Source organism: Homo sapiens, chromosome 7 (assembly GCF_000001405.40).
Source record: "Homo sapiens chromosome 7, GRCh38.p14 Primary Assembly".
Lineage (NCBI taxonomy): Eukaryota > Metazoa > Chordata > Mammalia > Primates > Hominidae > Homo > Homo sapiens.
Genome location: NC_000007.14, coordinates 93491011 through 93517649, shown reverse-complemented (window position 1 = coordinate 93517649; position 26639 = coordinate 93491011). Strand labels below are relative to the sequence as shown.

Below are 26639 nucleotides of genomic sequence, written 5' to 3'. Positions count from 1 at the left end.
CTTAAAGTTTTGATAGCTTCAATGTAAGAATAATTAAAGTTTTGTTTTTCTTTCCATATAGTTCACCTGCTTTTAGTTTTCAGTTATGTAGTCTTCAAGAATTCTAAAAAGATAGCAGTGCTGTTATGGATTGTAATGCTATATTTAAAAGGCCTTTTGCAAAAATAGGTGTAGTAATAATTTATGGAAACAAATCATTGCTAGTTTATAATATATGATTATTTAATCTTTCCAACTATGTGAAGGAGCATTATTAATATCATCTAAATTTATAGGGTGGAAATCTGTCTCAGAAATGCAAGTCATTAGCACAAGGCCATATGGCTAGCAAATTAAAAAAAAAAAGTTCTCAAATCAAATTCTGACTTTTTTATAGTAATCCAAAGATCTTTCCACTACTTCAGATTTCCTGAGGTTAGAAGCATTTTCAAAGTTTGGGCTTTGTGCCTGGCAGCGTGATAGGTATTGGGTAGTAAAAACAGCTTCTGTTCTCACTCCCTATATTAAGATGGAATTACTTGTGAAGTCCATAATAGACTAGGCAGAAGCAAAACTGAAATTAGTGGTTAATCATGACATCCTCCTTGCAACCTTATGATACCTGCTTCTCAATGCCCAGCTATTTTATACTCTCATGGTTCTAATGTGCAAAAAGCCACCGCAATGTCCTACCCAAGTCTGTCTTCCTTTGACTTACTCTTATGCTCTAAACCATAATTTCTTTTCACTTTCAACACTGTAAATTTACAGCTCTGGATCTTAAAGTGGTCTCCTAAAAACCCGCGATAATTTAAGAGTGATGCAACATCATCCTCTATTCTGGGCAATTTATATTTTATGGAGGACTTCTGACACTCCATTATTACTTTTTAATTATTAAAGAAATATATCGATCATTTTGGAAAATAAGTAGCATTATGGGAAAACTTCATCCATCATCTTATAATTAGAGATAATCTTTATGTATATACATGTAACATACTTCTCGACTCTCTTTGACATGCATGTATTTATTCTTTGAAGGGTTCTACTGGCCATAATGGTTCCTAGCCTCCTTTTTGTTTGTTTTTTATTCTAGGATATGTTTACAACATCTTTTCATGATACTGAATTCTCTTCCAACATAATTTTAAATTGCTGCATAGCAATCCACAATGTGTCCATCTCCCTGTTATGAGGCATTAGGCTGTTTTCATTGTTTGGTGTAATGATACTAGCCCCAAGTTTAGTATCCTTGCAGCAAAATCTTTATCCACATATGATTATTTTCTTAGAATAAATTCTGAGCAGTGAATTCATGAATCAATGTGACACAAAATTTTGAAGCTTTATGAAATAACTTAGCCTAAAGAAACAACTTCCTAGTGGGGCATTCTGGTTCATCCAACTGTGCCATCTACTTATGCCAAATATTTGCTTATAAGTTTGGGATTATCATGGTTTTGAAGAGCCAAATTAAAACCATTTTATATGTGTAACAGAGGGTGATGTTAAACCTTTTACATTTTTTGAGGAAAATTTTAAGGTGAGACTTGTAAAAGAAAGGATAGGACTCTGGGATATGGTCACACTGGTTTTGAATAATAATGGAAATTATGCACACACATTATTTTATGTATCATTAAAAAGAAAATAAAATTCAGTTATACTATGACTCAATGCTTTCTTATATTTTTAATTTTTATTTTATGATTATTGAAAGAATTCTTTTAGATCCATTTATACATAGATTTTTACAATATATCAGTCTTGTGGAAACATTGAAATAAAAATAAAGAGATAAAAGCAAAATTGTTTAATGCAACCTAAAACTTCGCATTCAGATTTTGACATTTCTTAAATCACTTTTTGACTCAAAATTGTCCATGTCCATATTTTTCTACTCAGCTTTGAATTCTGATGCTCATTCTACAAATTTGAATGTGCATTGGTAAGAAAGGACAGACAGCTTTGTCATGACTGCCTTCTGGCTGACAGCAATTATAAGATCCAAATCTACTTTTGAGACACTCAATTGTGAAAAATGTGCAAATGGTGTATGTGTATATATTTCATTAGAATCAATCAAACAAGAGTGTAGCAAAGGAAACATATATAAGCAGATATATTTGAGAAACATAAACACCAAAATAATAACAGCTAAAGTAATACTATTCATAATAATCACAATGATGTATTTTATTTGTGCCATTAATCATTACTAATCAGATGAGATTTTCCAAGCATGCATGCATTTTTGGTCAAAACGAAAGGTCCCTGCTTTGACATACCTCCTTTGCCACAAACACAATGAGTCAGGGAGATAGCAACTGATGATGCCTAGGAGTTCATCTCCCATAGGGTAATAACTTCATGCTGTTTGCTTCAGAACTCCTACAAATTTTCTGCTTATAAGTATTTTTTCCACACACAGGAATTCATATGTTAGAAATTTTTTTAGTCTTCCTTATAGCCATCCTTGAGAAAGGCTTGAAAGAAAGTGATTTACAATTATAAGAATCATGAATTGATCAGTGTAATTCAGTTTGCCAAAATGTATTTATCTAGAGGGTATGAAGAAAAAGGATTTTCTACTGATGTCAGAAACACTTGAAGATGTATTTGAATCCAGAAGAAAAACATGTTAATGTTTTTAGAAAGGACATAGATGTTGCTGGAATCCACATGGCCTTGGAATATAATTAAGTGAGTGGTACAGTTTCAAGTTGCATGAGCATGAGATTACCTTTTCCATTAGATTTCTAAAAGTATTTCTAAATAACCTAGATTCACTACTTATTTGCTCTGCTACCATTTTTAATGGCTCATAATGCAGAGGCAAGCTATTGTCTCTGAATAATAGAACTTTTAGGATTATCTATTCGTCAATTGGTTGCATTCTTACAGAAAGAGAAAATAAAGTTTATTGGGAAAATGACATAGTACCTTTAAAATATGCACATGAAATCAAGTACCCCAAATCAGAACATTCTTAATGTTTTCAATAAGTAATTACTCTGAGTGCATTAGTACATTCACAGACATGATGCTGAATATAAGAAATTAAATTACCTTAGATTTGGTAGCAGCAATAGAGTGGCGTCAACTTTAGTGAGCTGCCATAATTCAGATTAGATTATTATATTAATAATAGTGTATTATTATATTGAAAGTTTTACTTGTTTCTGATAACTTTATATGATATTCATAACAACAAATTATTTATCTTGAAGTATTGAAGCACTGACTGGAATTCCTCAGCATGGATCCTTCATATTTAGAGCTCAATATTAGCCCTTTACAAAAGTATTATAGCTACAAATGTTTAAAGACTCTAAATATGTGGCCAACCTCAGATTTAAAGGTGTCAATTATTACATATTATATAGTATTTTTTCTTTTCTGCTATAGCATATAGTAACCAAAATTGAACATGCAAAAACAAATTATTTTCTATTTCTTTGATGGTAAGCTTATCTCTTAATTGAGCATAGGAGTTATATTCAGCCTATGTCAGCACATAGACTACAAATTCACCATCTTAGTTCACCTTGTCCTTTGCTTTGTGCAGAGTATAGTAAGTGCTCTGAGGGTGAATGAAATTGTGATAAGCAAAGTTCTAATGATTGATTCAAATATAGAATGTCACCCTCTATGTTTCCTTATCTTGGATTGCAAATGTATCCTCATTACAGTTTATGCTGAATGAGAAAAGGAGCAGGCCCAGGTCACAATAAAATAAATATCTATATAATTTTTGGAAATGAAATAAATATTTATTTGTAAATGAAGTATCTATATATTTATTTGTAAATGAAATAAATATCTATATGTTTATTTGTAAATAAAAACAAATATCTACATATTTATTTATAAATAAAAACAAATATCTACATATTAAATACTTATTGCATGTCAACTGTTTTATGGACCTAACCTCCTTGAAGATCACATTAACACTGCAAGAGGGGCATTACAATCTCCATTTTTCAAATGAGAAAATGGAGTCTCAAAAAATTAACTTTTCGAAGGTCACACAACTTGTAAAGACCATAACAGAAATTCAGCTGTAGCTTACTCATTCCACGATGCCATCTGCAAAGTTTAAGTGGTTTTACTGAAAAACCAACCTTCTAGAAAACATTACATTTTATAATACATACAGAAACATTAAGAATGAAACATGGGACTACTACTCAAATAAATGGAAATATAAAAAGAGAAGAAATAGCTTTTAAAACCAGCTATTCTGTGAGAAAGCAGTGGTTCTATACTGTAGTATTTAATAAGGTGTCCTAGTAAATAAACCTATATATACTTCTTTTAATAGCAGATGTTATTAGAAAGATCTTTTTCATTTAAAACATTTATTACATAAATGATCTTCCTTTAAAATAATTTTTTTTCACATTCTATGTGGAACATTTGGGGCTGCCAATTGTCATTTGAGATTACTCATAGGTACCCTAATTTCCTCTGAAACCAGTATTACGTGAAGACCATGCTAGAAGTGCACTGAGAGGCAAAGCAGTCAGGAATCACAAGGAAGTGGCATTTCCAGGCTTTCTAGAGTGCAGAACAGTGTGGAGGCAGCAGCTCTGTGTCTGTATTTGGGCAATGGACATGTATTAGGAGAATGTTAATAGTTATTCCTAGCCTTCATGGGGTCTCTGGTTTACCTTAAATATTCTGTTTTGTTATATAACAGGCTTTACTGTCTTACTAATTAGATGCCAGCTCCTAAATACGATAATCATTTGTTGGAAGGAAAACAGTTATCATAAGTTATGTCAGTATTGCTGTTTATCAAGGAAAAAATTTTATGAGTGCTATTTAGAACCATAAAATTTTCCTTGGAATTATATGATACCCCTGCATGTGTAAGGGGCAGATGCAGCCAAATTGCATGGAGCTCTTCAAGAACTGCTGAAGAGCATCTTCCACTCTGCAAGAGAAATTGCCTTTTAATTAGCCTTTTCAGATTGTCTGTACAAGCCATAATAATTCATTTCATCAAAAAATATAATTATCTTAAATATTTTAGGATACTCAGCTGGATTTAATTAAGCAAGAGGATGTCCCTGTGTTTATACTCTTCAAATGGTTGCTGATTCCACGTAAACTTTACAAAAGTCTCATCTTATGTGCATTTTTTAAGGCCCTGAATTACTTTTATTACAAATTGTGATGCCATAAAAGAAAAGAAAGCCTTTTCTAAAAGAAGAAACCATCCTGAGGCACTGGGAGAATTAAAACATGAGCTGTACAGTCAGAAAGACTTGGGTTTGAATTTAGATTCCACCTCTTGCTAAATGAAAGACCATGGGCACGTCTCTTAATCTCTCTGGGATGCACTTGAGTTGCTTCCTCAATAAAATGAAGATGCAACGTACCATACAGGGCTGTTATGTAAAGTAAATAGCATGATGCCTGGTCACTCCAGGTCTCCAAACGTTTTGAGGTCCTTTCTGTAATAGTCACAAAGCATACTCTGCCAGACATGTAGTAAGAAGATTGAACATTATTCTGCCTACCTTTCAGCCACCACTGAAGAGGCCATAGTTAATGGGAACTGCATTTTAGCTGGGGCTTAGTTGGCTCCTAAGGAAGAGCATTAAGCTTGGCTGGTTCTAAGTGAAAGAAGTATTCCAACTGGAGGAAATTAAAACTGGGCGGATTTATGGCTGGATTTAACTGTGGGATCTGATAGTAACCTCCACCTCTCTACATTTACTTATATGCCCATAGCGCATGCCTACCCAGAAAAGAAGATTCTTTCTTTTGCTGGGTCCAATCTGCTGTTAAGCCCATCCATTGCATTTTTATTTCAGATATAGGACTTTTTCATTGCTAGAATTTCCATTTGCTTCTTTATTAAATTTTTAAAATGTCTCCTGAAATTCCCTACTACTTCATCCACAATGGCCATCATTCACTACAGTTTCATCCACTGTATTCATCATTTTCTGTAACTATTTAGTGTATGTTTAATAACTGTTTTAAAGTATTGGTCTGAAAAGTCCAACAACTGTATTGTCTAAGAATCTGCTATTTTTTTTTCCTATTCAAAAGGAATTACATTTTCCCACTTTTCACATATCTAGTAATTTTTTTATTGTGGATGATTCTCACCTCTGAGCATATACCAATATGTTCAATAAATTGTTGATAAAGTGATTATTATAAAACTCCATGTAAGCCTAGAGTTAGATCTCTCAACAATGGGAGATTTGTCTTAAACTCTCCCACATAACAATTTACTAAATTATATATTACTTAATTGTTTTTAAGGAATTTAGATTAAATTTTGAGTAGTTATGAAATATATATGACATAAAAATAATTGTATAATGAACACCCATGTACTAGTTTAAGAAGATCTTTAGCAGTACGTGTGAATTCTTCTCCAATCTCATCCACCATTCATTCCTTCCCACTCAGAAGTAACTTAACTTGTTATTCTAGAATTTTTAGTTACTGTGTTTATGATTTATTTTCTTAATTACATATGTTTGTGTCCCTATGCTATATAGATATAGCATATATATGCATATGTGAATATATATATATATGTAGAGAGAGAGAGAGAAAGAGAGAGAGGGTTTTTTTCACTAAGCATGTTTTTACACTTCTCTTTCCGCTCTCAATTCAAGGTCACCTTCTCTATGAAGTCTTCCCTAATCCCCCAGGCTCCATTCCCTAACTAGCTTTGCTTCCGGGCTTGCTCTTCCCCAACCCATTCTTCAAATAGAATCTCATCACTCTCCTAAATAATTTTTGTTTGTTTGTTTGTTTGTTTTTGTAGAGACAAGGTCTCGCTCTGTTGTCCAGGCTGGATGGAGTGGCAGTGGTGCTATCATAGCTCACTGCAGCTTTGAACTCCTGGGCTCAAGCAATCCTCCCGCCTTGGCCTCTCCGGTAGCTGGGACTACAGACACCTAGCTAATTTTAAAAAACTTTTATTTTGTAGAGACAGTGTCTCTTTATGTTGCCCAGGCTGGTCTCCAACTCCTGGCCTCAAGCAATTCTCCCAATTTAGCCTCCCAAAGCACTGGGATTATAAGCTTGAGCCACCTTACCCCACCCTCTTTAGAGACCCCTCATCTCTTTTTGTCCAGGCTTAGAAGTGAAGAATTTGGGGGATATACATGTGCAAGCTGCAGTGCTATCTGTAGTTTTAAATGTTCTCAAGTAACTAAAACTCCTTTGGGAAAGCTTTGCTACTCACTGATGGGTGCCTCCCTGGCCCACCAGATCAGATAGGAGTCTTCACCGGGCTGTCACAGAGAGACTTGGAGACTTTCTGACCTCCAGTGAAAGATGAACTCAGTGTCAATATTAACGAGGGACCTTTCCCCCATGGACATTGGACGGGTCCTAAGTAGCTCCTGATGTTACTCTGAACCAGAAAAACATGGAGTAGAGAAATGCCAGCCTACTCTGATTTTTAATAACAGCTTTTAGGAGAAGTCATAGTTTTATATAATCAATGTAAGTAATTATCGAGTACCCACCACTCTACTCTGAGTTCTGCTTTGATCAATGAAATAATAAATAAATGTCCTTGCTCGTGACAAAGAAATTTATACAAAGAAAAAAAATCTCAAAAGTCTTTAGTAAGAGTCGTTTATTCTTTATAAAGATATAGATCACTCCAAATCATCTCTGAAAAATCCCTTCTAAATTAAAAAAGTATTAAAAGCATTATAAATGTAATGCCCAACTAACTTGATTGGAGGGAAGTTTTAGGTCAAACAAATGATGTAAGTAAATGGTATTTTATGTATTAATCCTATAAATATCCACTTTTTGGGATTCAACTTAAATATTTCTAATTTTACCATAGGAATTTTTCAGTTCTGTATTTAGATTTTCATAATATAGTATTGTCATATATATAATTTATTTGATTCTAAGTTCGTAGTCAGGGACACAGTCTACAAATGCAACATTATTCCTGGAATAAATAAGATTAGCTTGAGTGAATGATTTTATTGAGTAAATAAACTGGAAACTTCTATATTTGGCAGAAAGTTAATCTCCACATATGTGAGTATTCCAAATGTTGCTTTGGCCAAAGATTTAGAAAGAAAATAAAGCTAGTTTCTGCTTTGAAAGCAGTTGGCCTCTAGAGTATTAGATTGATTCTAAATTGGAATTTTTTTGCTGAGTTGTCTTAAAAGTTTTTTCATTTTGTTTTGTTTTTGTCCTGTGTACTAAAGGGTCCAAAAAGATTTTGGGCTTCTGTTTATTTATATCATTTGACTTAGGAAGCCTATTAGTTCTTAAATGTTCTATTAGGATCTTTTCCTTTCCAGATAATATATTTCTAATACTTGAATTTTAGAGTTGCCTGCAACTCTAGGAGAAGGTGGCTCCTTAAATTAGATTTTCAGTAGTGAAAGGTAAGACTTCATCATTTCCTGTCTAAAACCCCATATTGTTGGGGGCAATTTAAAGAAATCTGGAGAAAAGAATTTTGCCTGGGAATCTTACGGGATCCCTCTCTGCCATGCTTTTACCTGAGCCAATATGGCACCATGCTTTTACCTGAGCCAATATGGCACCACAGTGTCTTGCTCTACTCAAATTCAAGAGGAGGGAACATACACCCCACCTCTCAATGGAAGAGTGTCCATTTCATCTTATAAGCAAATCACATGAGATGAGATAGAATAGCTAGGTAATTTAGTTTTAGTGCGGGAGTAGGAAAGAGAAACCCAAATTCTCAATTTTTAACACAGCGCTACAGAAATTACTCCTCTGAAATCAGGGAGACATTACTACAGGGGTACATTACTGCATGTACCTAGGGTCACTAGGTACATGGACAGTAAGATCTTACAGACCAAGTATAAATTCCAAATCTCCCACTTCCTCATCTGCAAACCTGCTTTTCTCTGAGGGTTGTTGAGAGTTAATTTAGGTAATGAAAGTAAAAGCCTTACACCACTCTTGGCACACAGCTATTATAACAAACAGATCACTACATGGATTTACCAGAAATCTTAGCCTTCTACCTGTAATGCCTTGACTAATCTTCATTTCAAACAGGGTTAGTTAAAAATAATTCAATGACCCTACCCATTAGACCATTCAACTACTTTTTAAATTTGTAACTCTGCTTATTTGCTACATGAGAGTTCAACAATGGTAATAGAAGCAGAATTAGAATTAAGGCTTAAATTCAATAAAACTGCATATAAAAGTAATTCTATTTAATAGTTTGATTGAATTTTGTTAAAAATTAAAAAAAAATTTGTTTAAAAAATAATGTTCCACCCTCCTTTGTGAGTCCACATGCTCTCTGATAGCCACAGTTTTGAGAGTGTAGTATGCCCAACTGGAAAATATACTACTTTTTGCTTTGATTCATTTTCCCCTTTTCTTGACTAAGCACATTGAGGGGTTTTCTTTTGTTTTTGTTTTTGTTTGGTAAAATATCCAATATATACATTAGAATTATCTTATGTCAACATTTGTGAAATAAGTGCACACTTATTTTTCTTTGGCTATATGCCAAATGGCAATATATGTGTGAATTGTATTTACTGCATATGTTTTCATAAGATTCTCTGAGCATATCTTATGAAATATCATAAATTGGTTCTAGAACTTGTAAGTTAATCAGAAATTCTAGGTTTCAGGAAATTGGGTATATTAATTCTTAAAATGAAAATCAAAGAAAGGTTGTCTTCTTCATCTTGGTCCATGTGAACAATTTTTTCTTTTTTTTTTCTTTTTTTTTGAGATGGAGTCTCACTCTGTCACCCAGGATGGAGTGTAGTGGTGCCATCTCGGCTCACCGCAAGCTCTGCCTCCCGGGTTCATGCCATTCTCCTGCCTCAGCCTCCCAAGTAGCTGGGACTACAGGCGCCCGCCACCATGCCTGGCTAAATTTTTTTTTTTTTTTTTTTTTGTATTTTTAGTAGAGACGGGGTTTCACCATGTTAGCCAGGATGGTCTCGATCTCCTGACCTCGTGATCCACCCACCTCGGCCTCCCAAAGTGTTGGGATTACAGGCATGAGACACTGCGCCTGACCTTCTTTTTTTTTTTTAATGCAGACTTCATCAGCTTGATTTTAGTTCTGCACAAACAGTGGTGGAGGGAAAGGTTTCTTTGGTTTCTTCTGCTTTTCTTAGTCACTTTCTTTCCTTGGCACCTGATTCAACATCTAGGCTGTCTCGAAAACCCTACACTGAGGGCCCCTCATGGCAGCACCACTGTTCTTTTCTGTCCTGGCTCCTTACCCTCCTCACTGCTCATTGCCCTGACAGCTGGCTCTCCCTTTGAAGTACTGCTCCTAAACTAATGTTTTCTCCATCAGGCATTAACTGACATATAACACTTGACTTGTCCTTCTGACCCCACTTCTTTTTAACCACTTTCTCACCTTATTAGTCTATTTACTCGTGTGTGTGTGTGTGTGTGTGTGTTCAACAAGGAAGTATTCTGGGCCTCCTTGTTACATTAAGGCTGCTTACTCTTCACTGACCCTAAATTAATTCTAATTTGGCCCTTTGGGACTTTATTCTTTCCTGATGTATTAGTCCATTCTCACACTGCTAATGAAGACATACCTGAGACTGGGTAATTTATAAAGAAAAAGATGCTTAATGGACTCACAGTTCCACATGGCTGGGGAGGCCTCACAATCATGGCGAAGCAGGAGCAAAGGCATGTCTTACATGGTGGCAGACAAGAGAGCATGTGCAAGGTAACTGCCCTTTATAAAACAATCAGATCTCATGAGACTTATTCATTATTATGAGAATCGAATGAGAAAAACCCACCTGCATGATTCAGTTACCTTTCACTGGCTCCTTCTCATAACAGGTGAGGATTGTGGGAACTACAATTCAAGATGAGATTTGGGTGGGGACACAGTCAAACCATATCACCTGATTATTAAGCCAACTTCCCAGAGGAAAAGTTCATGCATAGGAAAATAAGCTAGGAAGCTGAGAATCTGCTGGTCTTATGCCCCACAACCACCAAGTGAAGCCAAAAAAAAAAAAAAATCACAATCAACAACTGTTTGACCAAATAGTTCAACAAACAATTGAGCCATCTGGATATTTGGTAGCGTGTTATAACAACAGAATCCTGTTTGTTTTCTACAGGGCCATTTAGTAATTTTTGTCTGTAGTGAGGAGATTGTTGCTTTTTGCTTGTTTGAAGGACATTAAGGAAATACACTAAGTAGCATTAAACACTACCTCTGTGACTGCTCTTAAAGTCACTGTGAGTTGGTTATGAGGCCTCAAGTGTGCAAATGAGAAACACACCTGCAGGAGAATATGGATGAGAAACCATGAAATTGGTCTTTAATAAAAACAATGTCCTAAACTTATGAACCTCCCCAAAAAACCTAATCCTCCTTCAGTGTGCCCTATCTCAGCCAATCCCATCTGCATCAGACATATTGTAAAAGCCAGAAACCTAGTGAAGCGGCATCATTTTCTGGGGTAAATAACTGGGGTTCGTCATCTCATACCAAGAAAACTAAGGACACAGACACACACAGAGAGTGAGTTTAGGAGTGATAGTTTAATAGGCAAAAGAAAGAGAAAGAACAGCTTTCTGTCTTTTGAGAGAGAGGGACACCTGAGTGGGACATTTGGCCTGAGGTGGAGTACACCGGATTTTAGAGACAGGCTTGACAAAGCAATATCTGATTTACATAGGGCCCAAAGATTGGTTGGACCAGGTGTGATGTTTACATAATATGTGGGGCCCCTAATCTTATTATGCAAATAGAGTCTTTGCCTAGCTGGCACCTTGTTACCTGCTCCTTCCTGTACACGGGGCTGGCAAAGAGAAGGGAAGGTGGAGCCGCCATTTTGAACATACCTAGTCCCAGGTGGCCTTTTAACCTGTATAAACTTCTAGCTAGAATGGGATGGTAAAAAGAAGTGTGTGCGCGTGATTTTGCCTCCTATTTTGCACGAGAGAGGTTCTCTTTTTATCCTATTTTGTAGACATGGCTTATCTACTTCTCTCTTGATTTAGTCTTTCTAACGTATTATAGTGGAGATAAGAAGTTTAGCAAAGTTCCCTGAAGGAAGGAGACAGGGTTGAGAAGACGGGAGAGAAAGACATAGTGAAATGTTCACAGAAGACCATCCAGCACATACCTGATTCCCATTGCTGTGTATACACTTTGTAAATTTGGACAAGTTCTTTCTCCTCCCTGAGTCTTGGTTTCTTCATTTTCAAATGAGGGTTTCATATTAGATAATCTCTAATGTCTGATTGTCTGACTCAAACATCTTTCGTGACTAAACTTTCCCGAATCTATCACACTAATTCATATCCTTCCACATGTCCCAAGTTAAAGTACGACTATTTTCACAACCAATGTATCAAACTCTTCCTGCTTTGACAAAAACAGATGCAACTGGATGTGCCAACTGATTCTTTGAAAAGGAAACTCAAACTATTTTTGGGGGGGAGTTCTGCAAAGAACATTGTGACTACTGAGTTTTTATAGGCTTTTTTTTTTCCACTTAGCTATATCTAGTCTTATCTAGACATCATTGAAAATATGCTTGAATTGCAGGCCTTTTTCAGGTGTCCTTGAAATTACTCAGAACCGGTACCTTCCTTGACACTTCTTTTTATTAAATAGTATAGGTGGTGGGACTATATCAGGAGTGGCAGACATAAATTTCCATAGGGGCCCCACTGCTTATACTATAAAAGCTCTTTTTGCAGCAGCATCTTCAGAGAGGAGGTGAGATACCACATGGAAATATTGCTGCACCCCTAAGATTCTTGCATAAGTCTTGTATGGGTGCGTCTGCTTTAGATAGAACTTGGAGATGTCAGTCACAATTATTACCAAAGTGAATAGATAACACTAACTCAGTCTTCCTAAGAGAATACCAGAAAAGATTAACTGGACAGATTTTACCTCATTCTTATGGCATGAAGTTATTTTATTTCAGGAAACTTAAATTCTTTGTTGTACTAAATTAAAAAAATACAGTTTTGCTTAGGGGGAAAAAGGAAAGAAAAGGAATAGTAGTTGAGGATATTGAACATTTTGAACACGTATCTCTCTTAGGTCTTAAAAACTTATGGATCATGGTAGACATATTTACGAGTACTATTTGAATGTCTTCCCAAGATGGCAGATCACAGGTTTTACATACGGTGGGAGAAAGAAAAAGACGCTGTTGAGCAGAGGAAATAATACATGGTTAAAGAATTTCTACCAGAATTCATTGAGCACCAAATATTGCTGAAGTTAGATATTGAAACTATCTCATGGTCTATTACTTTGCAGTCAGGGGTTTCCTTATTTCCAGCACAGAAATAACTATTTTTAGCTATACTTAAACAATATTACAATGATAGTGTTTTTAGGGAAGGCAAGTGTGAAATGTAAGATAGAATTTGTTGGTTTTTTTCCCTGTTGGGGGGAATTTCCAAAGAAGCCAAACAACAATAAGAATTAAAATGGGAAATGTGGGCAATTTTCTATAATATCACTGAATGCTTTCTGTCTTTGTTTGTATATTGTTGGAAGCTGTACTTATGGGTCTATTATGACTATTCTTCATTGGCCACTGAGATTAATTTCCCTTTATAATTTTGTAATTACATTTGTGAAATACATTTTTTAACACCTAATCACCACCAGGGCACTCTTAAGAGATGTAATTAGAAAGCCCATCAGACATTCTGTCTTCAGTGTATTGCTAATTGTGTTAATTCATTTTTTTATTGCAACTTGCTGTTGATATCATGAATGAAGCCTTCATTATAGAGAATAGTTCTCAGTGAAATGGCATTCCCATTGGTTTAAGAGCCTTCTTTTAATTTGAGGGTTGTTCCTTATTGGGGATTATTGTCAAACTTTTTAAAAAGTATATTTCCAGTTATCTGAAGACAGATTGAAAGCAGACCCAAGCAATTAAGGTGAGACAAGTATAACCTCCCTCTTTCCCCTACTATTTTCTTATTCTGTACTCCAAAGCTACGCCATAGGGAACATTCCTATCAGCAACAGTGCACAAAACACAGAACAAGAACAAGATAGTTCATTTCCTCTTTTCTTTTTTTTCAAAAGCAATTCCCGTCAATGTTGCAAAAATTAGAAAATGCAGGCAAGCAAAATCAAATCAAATCAAATCAATCACTTTCAATCCCACCATCTGGAGAGGTTCTAGTACCATCTTTGTCACCTTGCTGTGGAAACTTGTGCAATTTTCCTCTGTGTCGTGTGTATGTGTATGTGTGTGTGTGTGTGTGTTTCTAATTATTTGCTTTCTCCTTCCTCAGAAAAAGCATATGTATTCATGATATGTTAACTTTGGCCTTAATGTTGTAACTTGCTTAGGGCAATAGGGTGTGAGTAGTTATGTCTTACCTCATCTGAGCAAAGCGTTGCTCCCCTGGCAGGACCATCCTCTGCCCTGAGAACAGCATATTCCAGACGAGTGTTGCTCCATCAGCCCTGGTCACAGAGAGAAAATCATGTGGAGCAGATCCACAGAGGGTGCTTCAGCTGCCCCATAGTTATCATGTAACTTGAGGAAAAGAAAAAATCATTTCTTTTAAAAAACTGAGATTTGGAGGTTATTTTTTACATAGCAAATCTAGTATTTTACCTAGCCTCTCTAAGACTCAGTTTTCATGGCTGCAAAATTACAGTAACAATAATAGTATCTACATGCGAAGGCTATTGAAAAGATTGAAGGAGGTAATACGTGTATACTCATAGTGCCTGCTGCATAATATTATATTCTTCAAGCCTTTTTTCTATTCATATATAAATATATATTTACAAAAATCAGATTATGTCATACATTCAGTTTGTAGTCCCTTTTTAAAGTAATAACATACCAAAAACATCTATCTAGATAATTAAATATTCTAGTACACAATTTTTAATGGCTGCAGAGTATTCCATTAGTATCGGTGTGCCAAAGATTAACAAATTCATTATTTTGGACATTTAGATTACTTTCAAATTCCACTGCATTAGACAAAGTTATGATGGACATTTCTACAATCAAATCTGGACCAATTTATAATATCAAGAGGAAAAAAACCTTAGTCAAAGGGTCTGGATGTTTTAAGAATTTTGGCATATAGAGTTGTTTACAGCTTACAAACTTATAATGTTAATACAGCGAAACTTAGCCAGAAGATAGTTATATAATCTTTAAGAGTAGATCAATTAAAGAAAAAAATCATTGACAACTTATTTTCAAACTTCATTATTTTCAATGGGCATGTTTATTTAAATACGTATGTTTCTAGAATCAGTGTGAAATGTGGAAAGAAAATAGATTTTGAAGTAAGAACTGTTTTCAAGTTCTGTCTCTGCCGCTTATTGACTGTGAGATCTTAATCAAGTTACTTAACTTCTGTGAACCTTTATTTCCTTATATATAAAGTGGAGATTTAAATGCCTATTTGCATTTCATAGGAGGATAATGTAATGTGTATAAATTGCCTGGCTTCTATATGCATTCAGTTCATTTTAGTTCCTTCCTTCCTTTCCCACTAGTTATCCCCTACTCCCAACCCCTCTTCAAAAAAGGAGTCCATTTTAATGTTTTAATTTGGCCAAAGACTACCATATATTCTTGTGTATCAGCCAAGAAGGATAACAGACAGAGTTTCTTGATAAACATTAGGTTTCATCTATATCTTTCCAAAGAATATCAGAATTTTCTCTCAGAACAGAGAACAAGATTGGAGCTCTGTTTCCTGTCACCCACCTGGCAGCAATTAGTTCAGGACCCAGAACCTGCACATTAGCAACAGCAGAGAAGCAGTGAACTTAAGTTAGAGTCAACTGTCAGTTGGAGAAGCTATTGTTAGTCAGGGTTCCTTTAGGGAAAGCGACAGATCCTGCTCAGATTAATTTAGTCAACTCAGTTATTTCAATTCAGCTCATTGACTTTGCATAAATTCTGGTTTAGTTCTGCACTGCGTCCTTTAGCTCCTATCACTGAATGCGTACTACCACCAGAGAGAGGTGAGGAGATACAAGATGTCTTAGAAATATGAGTCAGCTATCAGAAAAATATGAATCGGATTACCTATGGATCTAAGTCATGTAGATGCCTCTAGACACGTTCTGAAATAACTGAACTTCTCAGTTATTATCCCATCTGCATCCCCAAACAAAATCACATTAGTTCAGATTAATTCTTTGGTATTCCTGATTAAGTTTGTGGGGTTGATTAAACCTTGTTTTATGTGCTGTAATTTTTTATATACTTAATTTTTAAAAAGTGAACTGGTGATTTCATCATTGTACCTCATAAATTTGTAAAATTATAATGTGCCAATTTTTTAAACGTGAACTGGCAAGGTGAGTCATATGCAAGTTTCTCACAAGGACTAAGCTTTCTTGAATAAAGCAGGATGTTCAGTTCACCTGAAAAATTAAATTGCACATTGAAATTGACTTTAACATCATCATTTTAGATAAAGTTCGTCAGATCAGACCACTGATTCTTAGCTCTTAGGGTCATGGTGGGAAACAACTGCTATGATGAGAACTATTTGTATATCGTTGCTGACATTTAGAGATCCAACTTGGTTGGCCATCCCTTATATCATTAATCTCACTTAATTGCTCTGTTTTTCAAGGGAATCTAGACAATTTTACAGAACCTTTTGAACTACTTACACAGCTGTGAAGAAAGGATAATTTCCAAGGGCACTCAAATTTCAGGAAAATGGATTCTTAAATAATTTAATAGGAAGAAAAGGAAAGTTTGTAATGATTAAATTACATTTGATGGTGCTTTTCTTTATTAGTAAATATATGCACTGAAATTGGAAATGCAGGAGCAAGCTTGTCTTTTATAAGGTTCTAGATGAAATATCTTTGTATGAAATCCCATAAGTGGTGAGAGGATTGGGAGATATGTGTATTAAGGGGGTGCATGAGGATAGCTCCCATTCAAGCTTTCTCTGCAATACAGAAAGACTCCGTAAGAGCAAGTCCTGGATTTGGATTCAGCAAATATTTGATGAGTGAATTTATAAACACAGTAAGTGCTCTGCTTCATTCTACCCCACCTCCATTTCTGCAAACACAAACATACAAAGATAAATGTATGTACAATGCATAGCAAGGTTATGGGGGAGAGGCAGAAAATTAAGAACCCCAGACTGGTTTATTGCTAGTAAGTATTGGTACAACAGGGCCTGTGGCTAACAGCCAGCAATTGTTCTAATTGGTGGATGTTGCAGTGGCAACAATTGTTAAATACGTTGAACAACACCCCAGATGTCCTTTTCTTTAACCTCATTTTATTCAAGTCTAAGCACTTTCTTTCTTAAAATAGTCTTGATATCAGAACCAAACAGAATGTTAAAGGTGACTAAGAGAAATTAAACTGGGCAAGAGGATGAACTATCATTATGGTTATTTCTACCCCTACTAGACCAAGCTTTAGAACTTCACTGCAGAATATTGAAGCCAACTAGGAAAAATCTTTAATGCGAGACAGATTAGTAATTTAGAACATGAACTAGGTTGGACCCTATGATAGAGTTTTAATTAGAGCTCTTCCACTAACTTTCAAACAGATTTAAAATAAATCATTCAGTAGGTTTTCTTTTGCTCATCTATAGAGTGAGAAGTTGGGGATATTTGAATTCTAAGATCCCTTCCAGTTTCATCATTTAATAAAATCAGTTGTACTTTATTCTGAAAGAGGATTTTTTCAACAGTGTGTGTATAAGGACAAGATGATATTTTGTATAAGGACTATATCTTAATCCCACCATTTTAAATTCCTGTTGGTATTTATAGAATGGTTTCGTATGTATGTGGCATTGACTTCTACATAAATATTTTAAAACTTGGCTTAAAAGAGTTTATAACTTATGGCAACCAATTTAGTTCCACTCAGTAAGTCTCCTGTGTAAGATATAATAGAAGGGTAATTCATCAGTATTTGTGAAAGTGGACTTTCAAAACCAAGCACCAACATATTTAACCAATCATATATTTACCAGAGTTTCACTTAGCCAAACAAGCATGGCAAAGTCCTGCGATTTCTTTTCCAATATAATAAAGAAATGCTGATAAGTCTGCAACATTTACCTTTTACTGCAGCTTTTTCTGCTAATCAAGAGACCAACATACTTTTCATTCAGGAAATCAATGGAAGTCAATTATTACCCAGACGTGGCCATCCATTCCTTGAATGTCCATTGCACATTAATATTGGTAAATGTAATTAGAAATAACAGCTAATTTAAATGAATTTATTTAGAGGATCCATGGTTGCAGAATTTTGCAGAACTTTTAATATCCTAACATACTTGCGAATTTCCAGAGAAGAGCACGTGGTATTTCACATTTCACAAACTTTGTTCCAGTGGACTGCTCATTCCTCTTTTTGTTATTAATGAGTGTTCACAGAGATCATATTTTGTAAAACCAATGTGGAAATTCTGTTTTAGTTTATTTTCTATTACAATGTCAAGTAGAGTCAATATTTATCTATACATTGCTATCTTGTCTCTGTCTGCCAAATACATGTTTTGTATTTTAGTGATGGTTACATTAGAGCCTATCTTGGAGTGAAAAAGACCTTTAATTATAGTCCAGTTGTCTAATTTTATAAGTAATGAAATGCATGCCCAGAAAGATATAGTAACATGCTTAAGAGTCATGTGGTGAGTTTGAAGTTCTTCTGGGATTACAATATGGATCTCTTATTCCTTTGCCCACTATTTTTTTTTCCATTATGCCATACTGACTTTTCTTCTAATATTTGCCATAGTTGATCTTAACAGAAGTTGAAAAGTTACAAGGAAACCTTGAACATGCTAATTACAATCAGTTTCTCAAAATAGAAGACCCTTCTGATAATTCAATTTCCATTTGTCCAAAACTGAGTTTACTTTATTCTTCATATATGACAGTCTATATGTAGTGACTAAGAACACAGATTTTGGAATTAGCCCACTTAAGATTTCTTCAGTATGCTTAGTGATTCCAGTATCTTCATGCTTATCCTTTAGATTGGATTATTTTTCTCCCAATCTCTCACATATCGAAGTTTGGCTTCATCTTAAGAAAGCATTGAAACACATCTAATAAATGCATGATGTATTTTTAATTAAATTGATTTGAATCAAAGAGTTTCTATCTCCCCTTTATCATGGCTGCTATTAGAGTTCCGATACTATAAAGTATACGTGAGGTTACAATGCCTTTTTCTTAAATTAGTTTTAATTAGACAGATCATAACCAATTATCCATTAATAATAGCCATTTGGGTAATGGCACAATTCTGAACTGCACACAATTCTGAACCATTTCTCTAAGATCTCCTTGTTTATTAATGTTGCCTGACCAACTACTTAGATGTCATGTATTTGTTCATTCATTGAATGCTTATTGAGCACTTACTATGTGCAAGGCTTTGTGTTGAGTCTTGTATTTAACCACTCTGTTACACAGGATGTGGTACTCAAATTCGAAGTAAAGTCTACTTATTTTTGAAAACTTCCACCAAACTAGTATACATCATTGCTTCATTTTAAATCTTATATCATTGTTTTGTTTCCCATTAGCAAGTATAATTAAAGTCACTTAAGGAGATGGGTCTTAGAGTAGAAATTCTGACAAAAACGTGACCAGTAACTTTTCAAAATTTGTCAAGTAGTTTACACCATTTCCACCAGGGTTAGGCTAGCATCTTGGAGTAGAAATGTGCTTTCTAGCCATTTCCCCTTAATAGCTGGAAATATATATCCATGCTGGATTATTCCTACCAGGGATTTCTGGACTGTGGGCTTTTGGTCTTTGAACTTCTAGGCAGTGATAATAAAAACATCATCTATGTGCTTAAAAATAACAGTGAAAATAACATATGAGTTGATAAATAGATATAATAGAGATCAAGAGTGATTTGAGACTGGGTTCTCCATGGAAACTGAAAAGATATGAAGGACATGCTGTTAGATCTTCTCCTCATTTATACCCTCAAAAAACATGTATTGAACAAGTATGATATGGAAAGCCCTGGGCTGGTTGTAGTCAGGGATATTGTTAAAACAGAAATAGCTTGGTGGTTGGAGAGACCACTCTGAGGGCACAGGACTAGGAGTCAGAACACCTGATTTGTCTACTCAGTAACTTCATGACTGGAAACTAACCTAATCTCCTAATCTCCTTGAGCTTTGAGTTGCTCATCCACAAACTAAGTGTAAAAGGAGAATCTACAACATTTTGTCTTAAGAACTAAATCAAAGAACATGTATGTAAGAATCTAGCATGGTACTGAAAACACAGTAACTATTAAATGCTAATTAGATGATGTATACACATAATGCAAGCTACAAAGTGGTTAAGTTTATAAGAGCTCAATGTGCTCAATAAGAGCTAAGTTAGCATGATGATGTAAAAATACATAGCTGAGTCAGGTCATTGACATGAGTAAAAGAAAAAGTCTTATTTCTTTCAATATGACATCATTTTTATTCTGTTTCCCCTATCATCTGAATTATTTCTCTTACATTGTGTGTCACACTGTTTACCCAGAACAGCTCTCCAATGCAGAAAGTGCCAAGTCTTTCTACCAGCTAGACTTGGAGCCTGGATTTAGATAGACATTTTAAACTCATGAGGAGAGTAGGAAGACACTCTGTTTTGCTTTATGTGGCAACATAAATTGGGTTTATGGCCATATTATGCCTTGGCAAGTTAGTTCCTGTAATAATGAAGAATGATTTTCAAATAGGTTATATAATCAAGGAGTTATCCAAACAGAAGGCTTTGCTGTGGCAGCAAACCAGCCTATCCTGTGGTTTCACAAAATTCATTTGCTTATTCACTTAGACTGCATCTACAGAAACATATTAAATAGAATTGTCTAGAAAGAAATGCCAAATTTTGTATTTGAAAAGATTCTAGGCCTTGGGTGACAACAGCTCATAGCTGTTTTGAGACAAGCCATGTTCCTTTTCACTACTCTTTGCCCACATTCCTCATCCTACTCCTTGTTCTCATAGCCAAGATATTGGTGGAAATGTTCTTGACAAATACTGCTCCAAAGGAATAATCGCCTGTGAGATGCCCATTATAGTACTGGGCTTTGTACCAAGGCTAGAGAATGTTGAAGGCCTCAGAAATTCCACTTTTGCTTCATGAAGGGGAAAGAGAGAAAATTATAAGTGAAAGGGCAGCTCGTTCTCATGACTTGCAGGCTTAATCAACTAGAGTGGTTTAGAAATTGCCATTGAGCTAAAAGAGCATTTTCCAAAGGATATTCTATAGATGGGTTATTAATTGTTATCACACCATAAAAGTGTTTCATGGTCAATCAGGTTTGGGAAATGAAGAGTTAACATCAAAGGGGTCTTTTTCGTACAGAAAAATTAGAGTCTTTAAAGTGCTAATGTCTATAGTAAATCTCTGAGAGAATAGGAAAGACTTAATTTCCTAAACTTATTTGGCCATGGAAACTTTATTTTATGCTGCTTCTCATGGGATTGCTGCTCTTCTATGGAACATGCTTTTGGAAATGCCAATCTATAAGAATAGACACATTATTTTCAGACATTGACATTTTGTACTCTTTCCACAAAAAATAAAGATAATTTAACTTTGCTTTTCAAGTAAATTTGTTCCCCTTACATGAAGACATTCTGTTCAATCATTATCATTGATTTACTGATTTTCATTTTATTTATTCACAGAATAAATGATTCCCACTGATCCACCCACTTTTGCCACCCCAGGATGCAATTTTCTGGAGAGAAGATTAGTGGCAAGTGCCCATTTGTGGATACAAACCAGTATAGATTCGGTTGTCCCACCAGTAACTGAACCTCTTACAATGGTTTCTTCATTTGCATGTTCTAAATCAGCCACAACAATCAGATTTTTAGGCTCCACATTGATCTGGTTTAGGGTCTGCATTAACTCTGGCAGGATGGGGCTCCTGTCCAGGTTTTTGTTTGAAAAAAGTGGTTAAAAGATATGCCGGAAATCATTACCCTAAGGAGCCAGATTACTGAGACAGGTCTTGTATACTTCTCCTATTCAAGGAGGGCATGACTAAGTAGTCATTCTATAGATAAGAAGCTGGTATAAAAGTGAAACTCTTTGTTCAAAAATAATAATAATAAAGGGAGAAGCAGAAATTAGAATTTTTTGGCTCCGCGAGTAGGGCACTTTAAGTAAAGAACAATGCTTCCTGTCTTACTAAATTATAGATTGACATTCCTTAGGTTCTGTCCCTAAATTATCCCTTAAACCAAGCAACCAACATTTACTAGCATTTACTATGTTCCAGGCTCTTCTCTAGGTTCTTGGGTTGCAAGAGTGAACAAAATCCTTGCTATGGAGATGGTAATTCATCAAGAAGCAAGTAAACAAATAATCTTATGTCAAAGTTAAACTTTGTTTTGATTTTCTTTGAGTGATCTTCCTGGTGTACCAGATGATTTTCTGGTTGCAGGTCTTCTGTATCACCTATTTCCATTCCAATTTGAAAGTTCTCAAGGTGCATTTCATACCCACTAACTGCTGTTTGGTGATACTGTCCTTTCTACCTGGGTCCAGGTTTCACTCTCTAAGGCTCAGGTCAGCTATTCTCCTGAAGGTCACTGAACTGTGAACATAACAATATCACCTGGAATCTTGCCTGTTTTAAATCCTACACTAATCAGTCTCTAGATTCCACCCCCAATCTATCCATCCTTTCATTCTGTCTTTTAATCATCTCTTCAACTAAGCCATTGGCCTCTGTCAGTTCATCCCGGATTTTCCACAGTTATCACTCTCATTAACTCTCTCTCCCATTCTTTTCTTCCTTCTAATAATCTCAGGAAAGAGAAATTATCTCATTCTTCAGCCTGATTCTACTCTTCCTTGCCTGCTTTTCTCTCTCAAACTGATAAAGCACCTCCTTTCTTCACAGCTCTACCTGTATATGTTTTCTTCTCCCCTCCTCAGGAGTCACCATAAAGTGCTTTTTTTCAAAAAACCATATATCTACAAGGCATTGTTTAACCCAGGACAACTGCAGTGCAACTTTTCTGACTAGAGGCAGGCTTGGTGAGCAGAGATCTACTATAGTTTGGGCATGAGGCATTTGTTATAGTTCCAAATAATGCAAGTCTTTAAAATTAAGACCTCTTCAATTAATAGGCAAAACAAAAGAAATTGTTTCTTATCTAAATCCCCTCTGTTGTTTCCGAATATTCACTCTCAGATCTGTTTTCATACTATTTTTGTTCTCATAAGCTGTTTGTGATACATGTGTAAATGTCATGTGTGGGGCTTTAAGACCATGGGGGTCCCCTTTTCTACAGCAAGATGACTGTGCAGCCCATTCACCTTAAAGTGACAAGTCTCCCATTGCCTCCAATGCTCCTCATTTTAATAACACTGTTGAGTCAAACAGCAACTTCTACATTGCAAAATATCAAATACATGACATGGATGGTACCATGTACTATCAATTAACCATCCAATCACCACATATTCACCTTCATAAAGAAGCTGGTTTCTCGCCATATTAGCTCTCACATTTGGAATTAATGAGTAGGATCATGTCAAGAGGAGATTTGGCTTTTAATTCTGGCACCACCCGTGGTGTTCTACATATCCTTCTTCTCTCAGAGGCTACATTACAGGACAATCATGAGCAGTCACCTTTAGGAATTTAATGTATGTCTATGACTTCTTTGTACTTTGTAAAATGCAAGATGTAGACAAAGAAAACTGTGTCAGTTTCACAAGTATGTATACATCTCAAAAACTCCAACTTTCACACCAGGAAATAAGTCTCACCCAATATATGGAGGTAGTGTATTCCCAATCAACAAGAAAGACACAAATTAAAAGTTTGCCTCCTCCACCTACTTTCCTCTCCTGAATTTCTTATCTGTCCTTTTAGCAGGCCACAAATCTAAGAGACAATTTTAATTTTTCTCTATTTCTCTTCATGATCACACTGGTGCTTGTTACTTTAAGGGGGTCCTGTATTGTATTCCTAGCCAATGGTTCTTTGCACTAACTTAAAGTTTGTAGGGAATTGCTAAAGAAGAGTAAAATTGCACTCATTTTAATATAGAACACGAGTTGGAGGGATTACAACTTGAAGCAGGGAAACTGGTCTAGAGGCTGTTGCCAGGGAACTGAAGAGAAAGATGGTGACCTGCACTAAGGTAGTAGATAGGATGGACATGTTTGAAAAGATCCCAAAATGCAGATGGAATCAGAGAGTCCTAGAGACTAGAAGCTTGGAATGAAGAAGTGAGTGGAATCAGGAATGATCCCAACTTTCTCATTCATACAATTCATGGATAATTGTGGAAGACACTGATATGAGAAATGCAAGAAAATGGACAGAGAAAATAATACATTTAGATTTGCCAATGTGGTGGTGTGGTGAGGATATAGTTGTAAAAAATCAGAATTCCATGTTTTATTTAACTCATTAGATCACAAGCCACCATCATTATCAATAATAATAAACATGTGTATGCAATTTTGTGATGTGCCAGAGATATATAGCTATCTAAAAAATAATTCTTATCTGAAAGGGTTTAGCATTAGGTAAGGTTGTTAGGATGTGTATTTATGTAGATGAAAATACATAGAAATACACAGAATGCCAAATGGGTAGTTTGGGTAATAAATTTCCTAAGCACTCAAAACCTACTTTTTTAGCCCAATTTCCACTTCCTAAGAGGCTTTATGCTCCAGCTAAATTAAACTATTATATTCATTATTCTTTAGTTATCCTAAGTTTTCCTAGATCCATATGTTGTTTTTATGTGCTTTCTCTGACTAAGAGGTCTTTGCTTTTCAAAACCCTATTCAGGTTTTCAAATTTTATCTCAAAATATAATTCCCTCCCTGATCCCCCAATCAAAAATTATATAACCATCTTATAAGGCCCTATATTTTTGCAATTTCATTGAACCTTTCACCCAGTCTGCATTTGAGTTATTTTGCCACATCTTATATCATTTATACCCTTCCCCACTCAGATGCTCAACTTCTTATACTGGAATCATATCTCATCCAGCTCATATTTACATTTCATGTAGTGCCTCAGCACTTAATACGTGTGTGCGTGTATGCTTCTAATTTACTGAGTGGACTTGAAATAAATCAGAAACAATGAATAATGATCAACATATAAAATGATGTTTCAAAATTATAATTTACATTCTCAATTTCCTGTTATGCCAATAGGTAAACTGAATAGAATTTACCCTTTTGGGGACAAGTATAATAGGCATACATTGTAGACAGTAATTTATATCTGGAAAAATCTGTAAATACTTTTTTTTTACTATTTTTGTTTTTTAAAATATGTGAGTGCATATTTTATTTTTTTCTTTTTAAAAAATAAAATTTTTACACCTATTGACCTGTCCTCTAAGTTTCCTCCCTTCGCACCCCTCCCACCAACAGGCCTTGGTGTGTGTTGTTCCCCTCTCTGTGTTCATGTGTTCTCATTGTTCAACTCCCACTTATGAGTGAGAACATGTGGTGTTTGGTTTTCTGTTCCTGTGTTAGTTTGCTGAGGATGATGGCTTTCAGCTTCATCCTTTGCAGGGATATGAGCTCATTCCTTTTTATGGCTGCATAGTATTCCATTGTGTATATGTACCACATTTTCTTTATACGGTCTATCTTTGATGGGCATTTGGGTTGGTTCCATGACATTGTTATTGTAAATAGTGCTGCAATAAACATACGTGTGCATGTGTCTTTATAGTTGAATGATTTGCATTCCTTTGGGTATATACCCAGTAATGGGATTGCTGGGTCAAATGGTATTTCTGGTTCTAGATCCTTGAGGAATTGCCATACTATCTTCTACAATGATTGAACTAATTTACATTCCCACCAACAGTATAAAAGCATTCCTCATTCTCCACAGCCTCACCAGCATCTATGGTTTCTTGACTTTTTAATAATCACCATTCTGACCGGTGTGACATGGTATCTCACTGTGGTTTTGATTTACATTTCTGTAATGATCAGTGATGTTGAGCTTTATTTCATGTTTGTTGGCTGTGTAAATGTCTTCTTTTGAGAAGTGTCCATATCCTTTTCCCACTTTTTGATGGGGTTGTTTGCTTTCTTCTTGTAAATTTGTTTAAATTCCTTGTAAATTTTGGATATTAGACCTTTGTCAGTTAGGTAGATTGCAAAAATTTTCTCCCATTCTGTAGATTGCTGGTTCACTCTGATGATAGTTTCTTTTGCTGCGCAGAAGTTCTTTAGTTTAGTTAGATCCCATTTGTCAATTTTGGCTTTTGTTGCAATTGCTTTTGGCATTTTTGTCATGAAGTCTTTGCCCATGTCTATGTCCTGAATGGTATTGCCTAGGTTTTCTTCTAGAGTTTTTATGGTTTGTGGTTTTTATTTAAGAATTTAATCCATCTTGAGTTAATTTTTGTATAAGGTGTAAGGAAGAGGTCCATTTTTAGTTTTCTGCATATGGCTAGCTAGTTTTCCCAGCACCATTTATTGAATAGGAAATCCTTTCCCCATTGCTTGTATTTGTCAGGTTTGTTGAAGATCAGATAGTTGTAGATGTGTGGTGTTATTTCTGAGGTCTCTGTTCTGTTCCATTGGTCTATATGTCTGTTTTGGTACCAGTGCCATGCTGTTTTGGTTACTGTAGCCTTAT

General features: G+C 35.4%; 1 protein-coding gene across 3 annotated transcripts in view; it reads left to right on the top strand.

The window, feature by feature from the left end:
* CALCR (calcitonin receptor) overlaps positions 1-26639 on the top strand; it is a 150239-nt gene that overhangs the window by 57075 nt on the left and 66525 nt on the right. Inside the window, exon 3 of one of the 3 annotated variants that reach the window (NM_001164737.3) lies at positions 21676-21746. The exons of the other annotated variants lie outside the window; for them this stretch is intronic. The gene's annotated coding sequence lies outside the window, so the exon portion shown is untranslated. The remainder of the gene's footprint in view (positions 1-21675; positions 21747-26639) is intronic. 3 annotated transcript variants of the gene reach the window in all.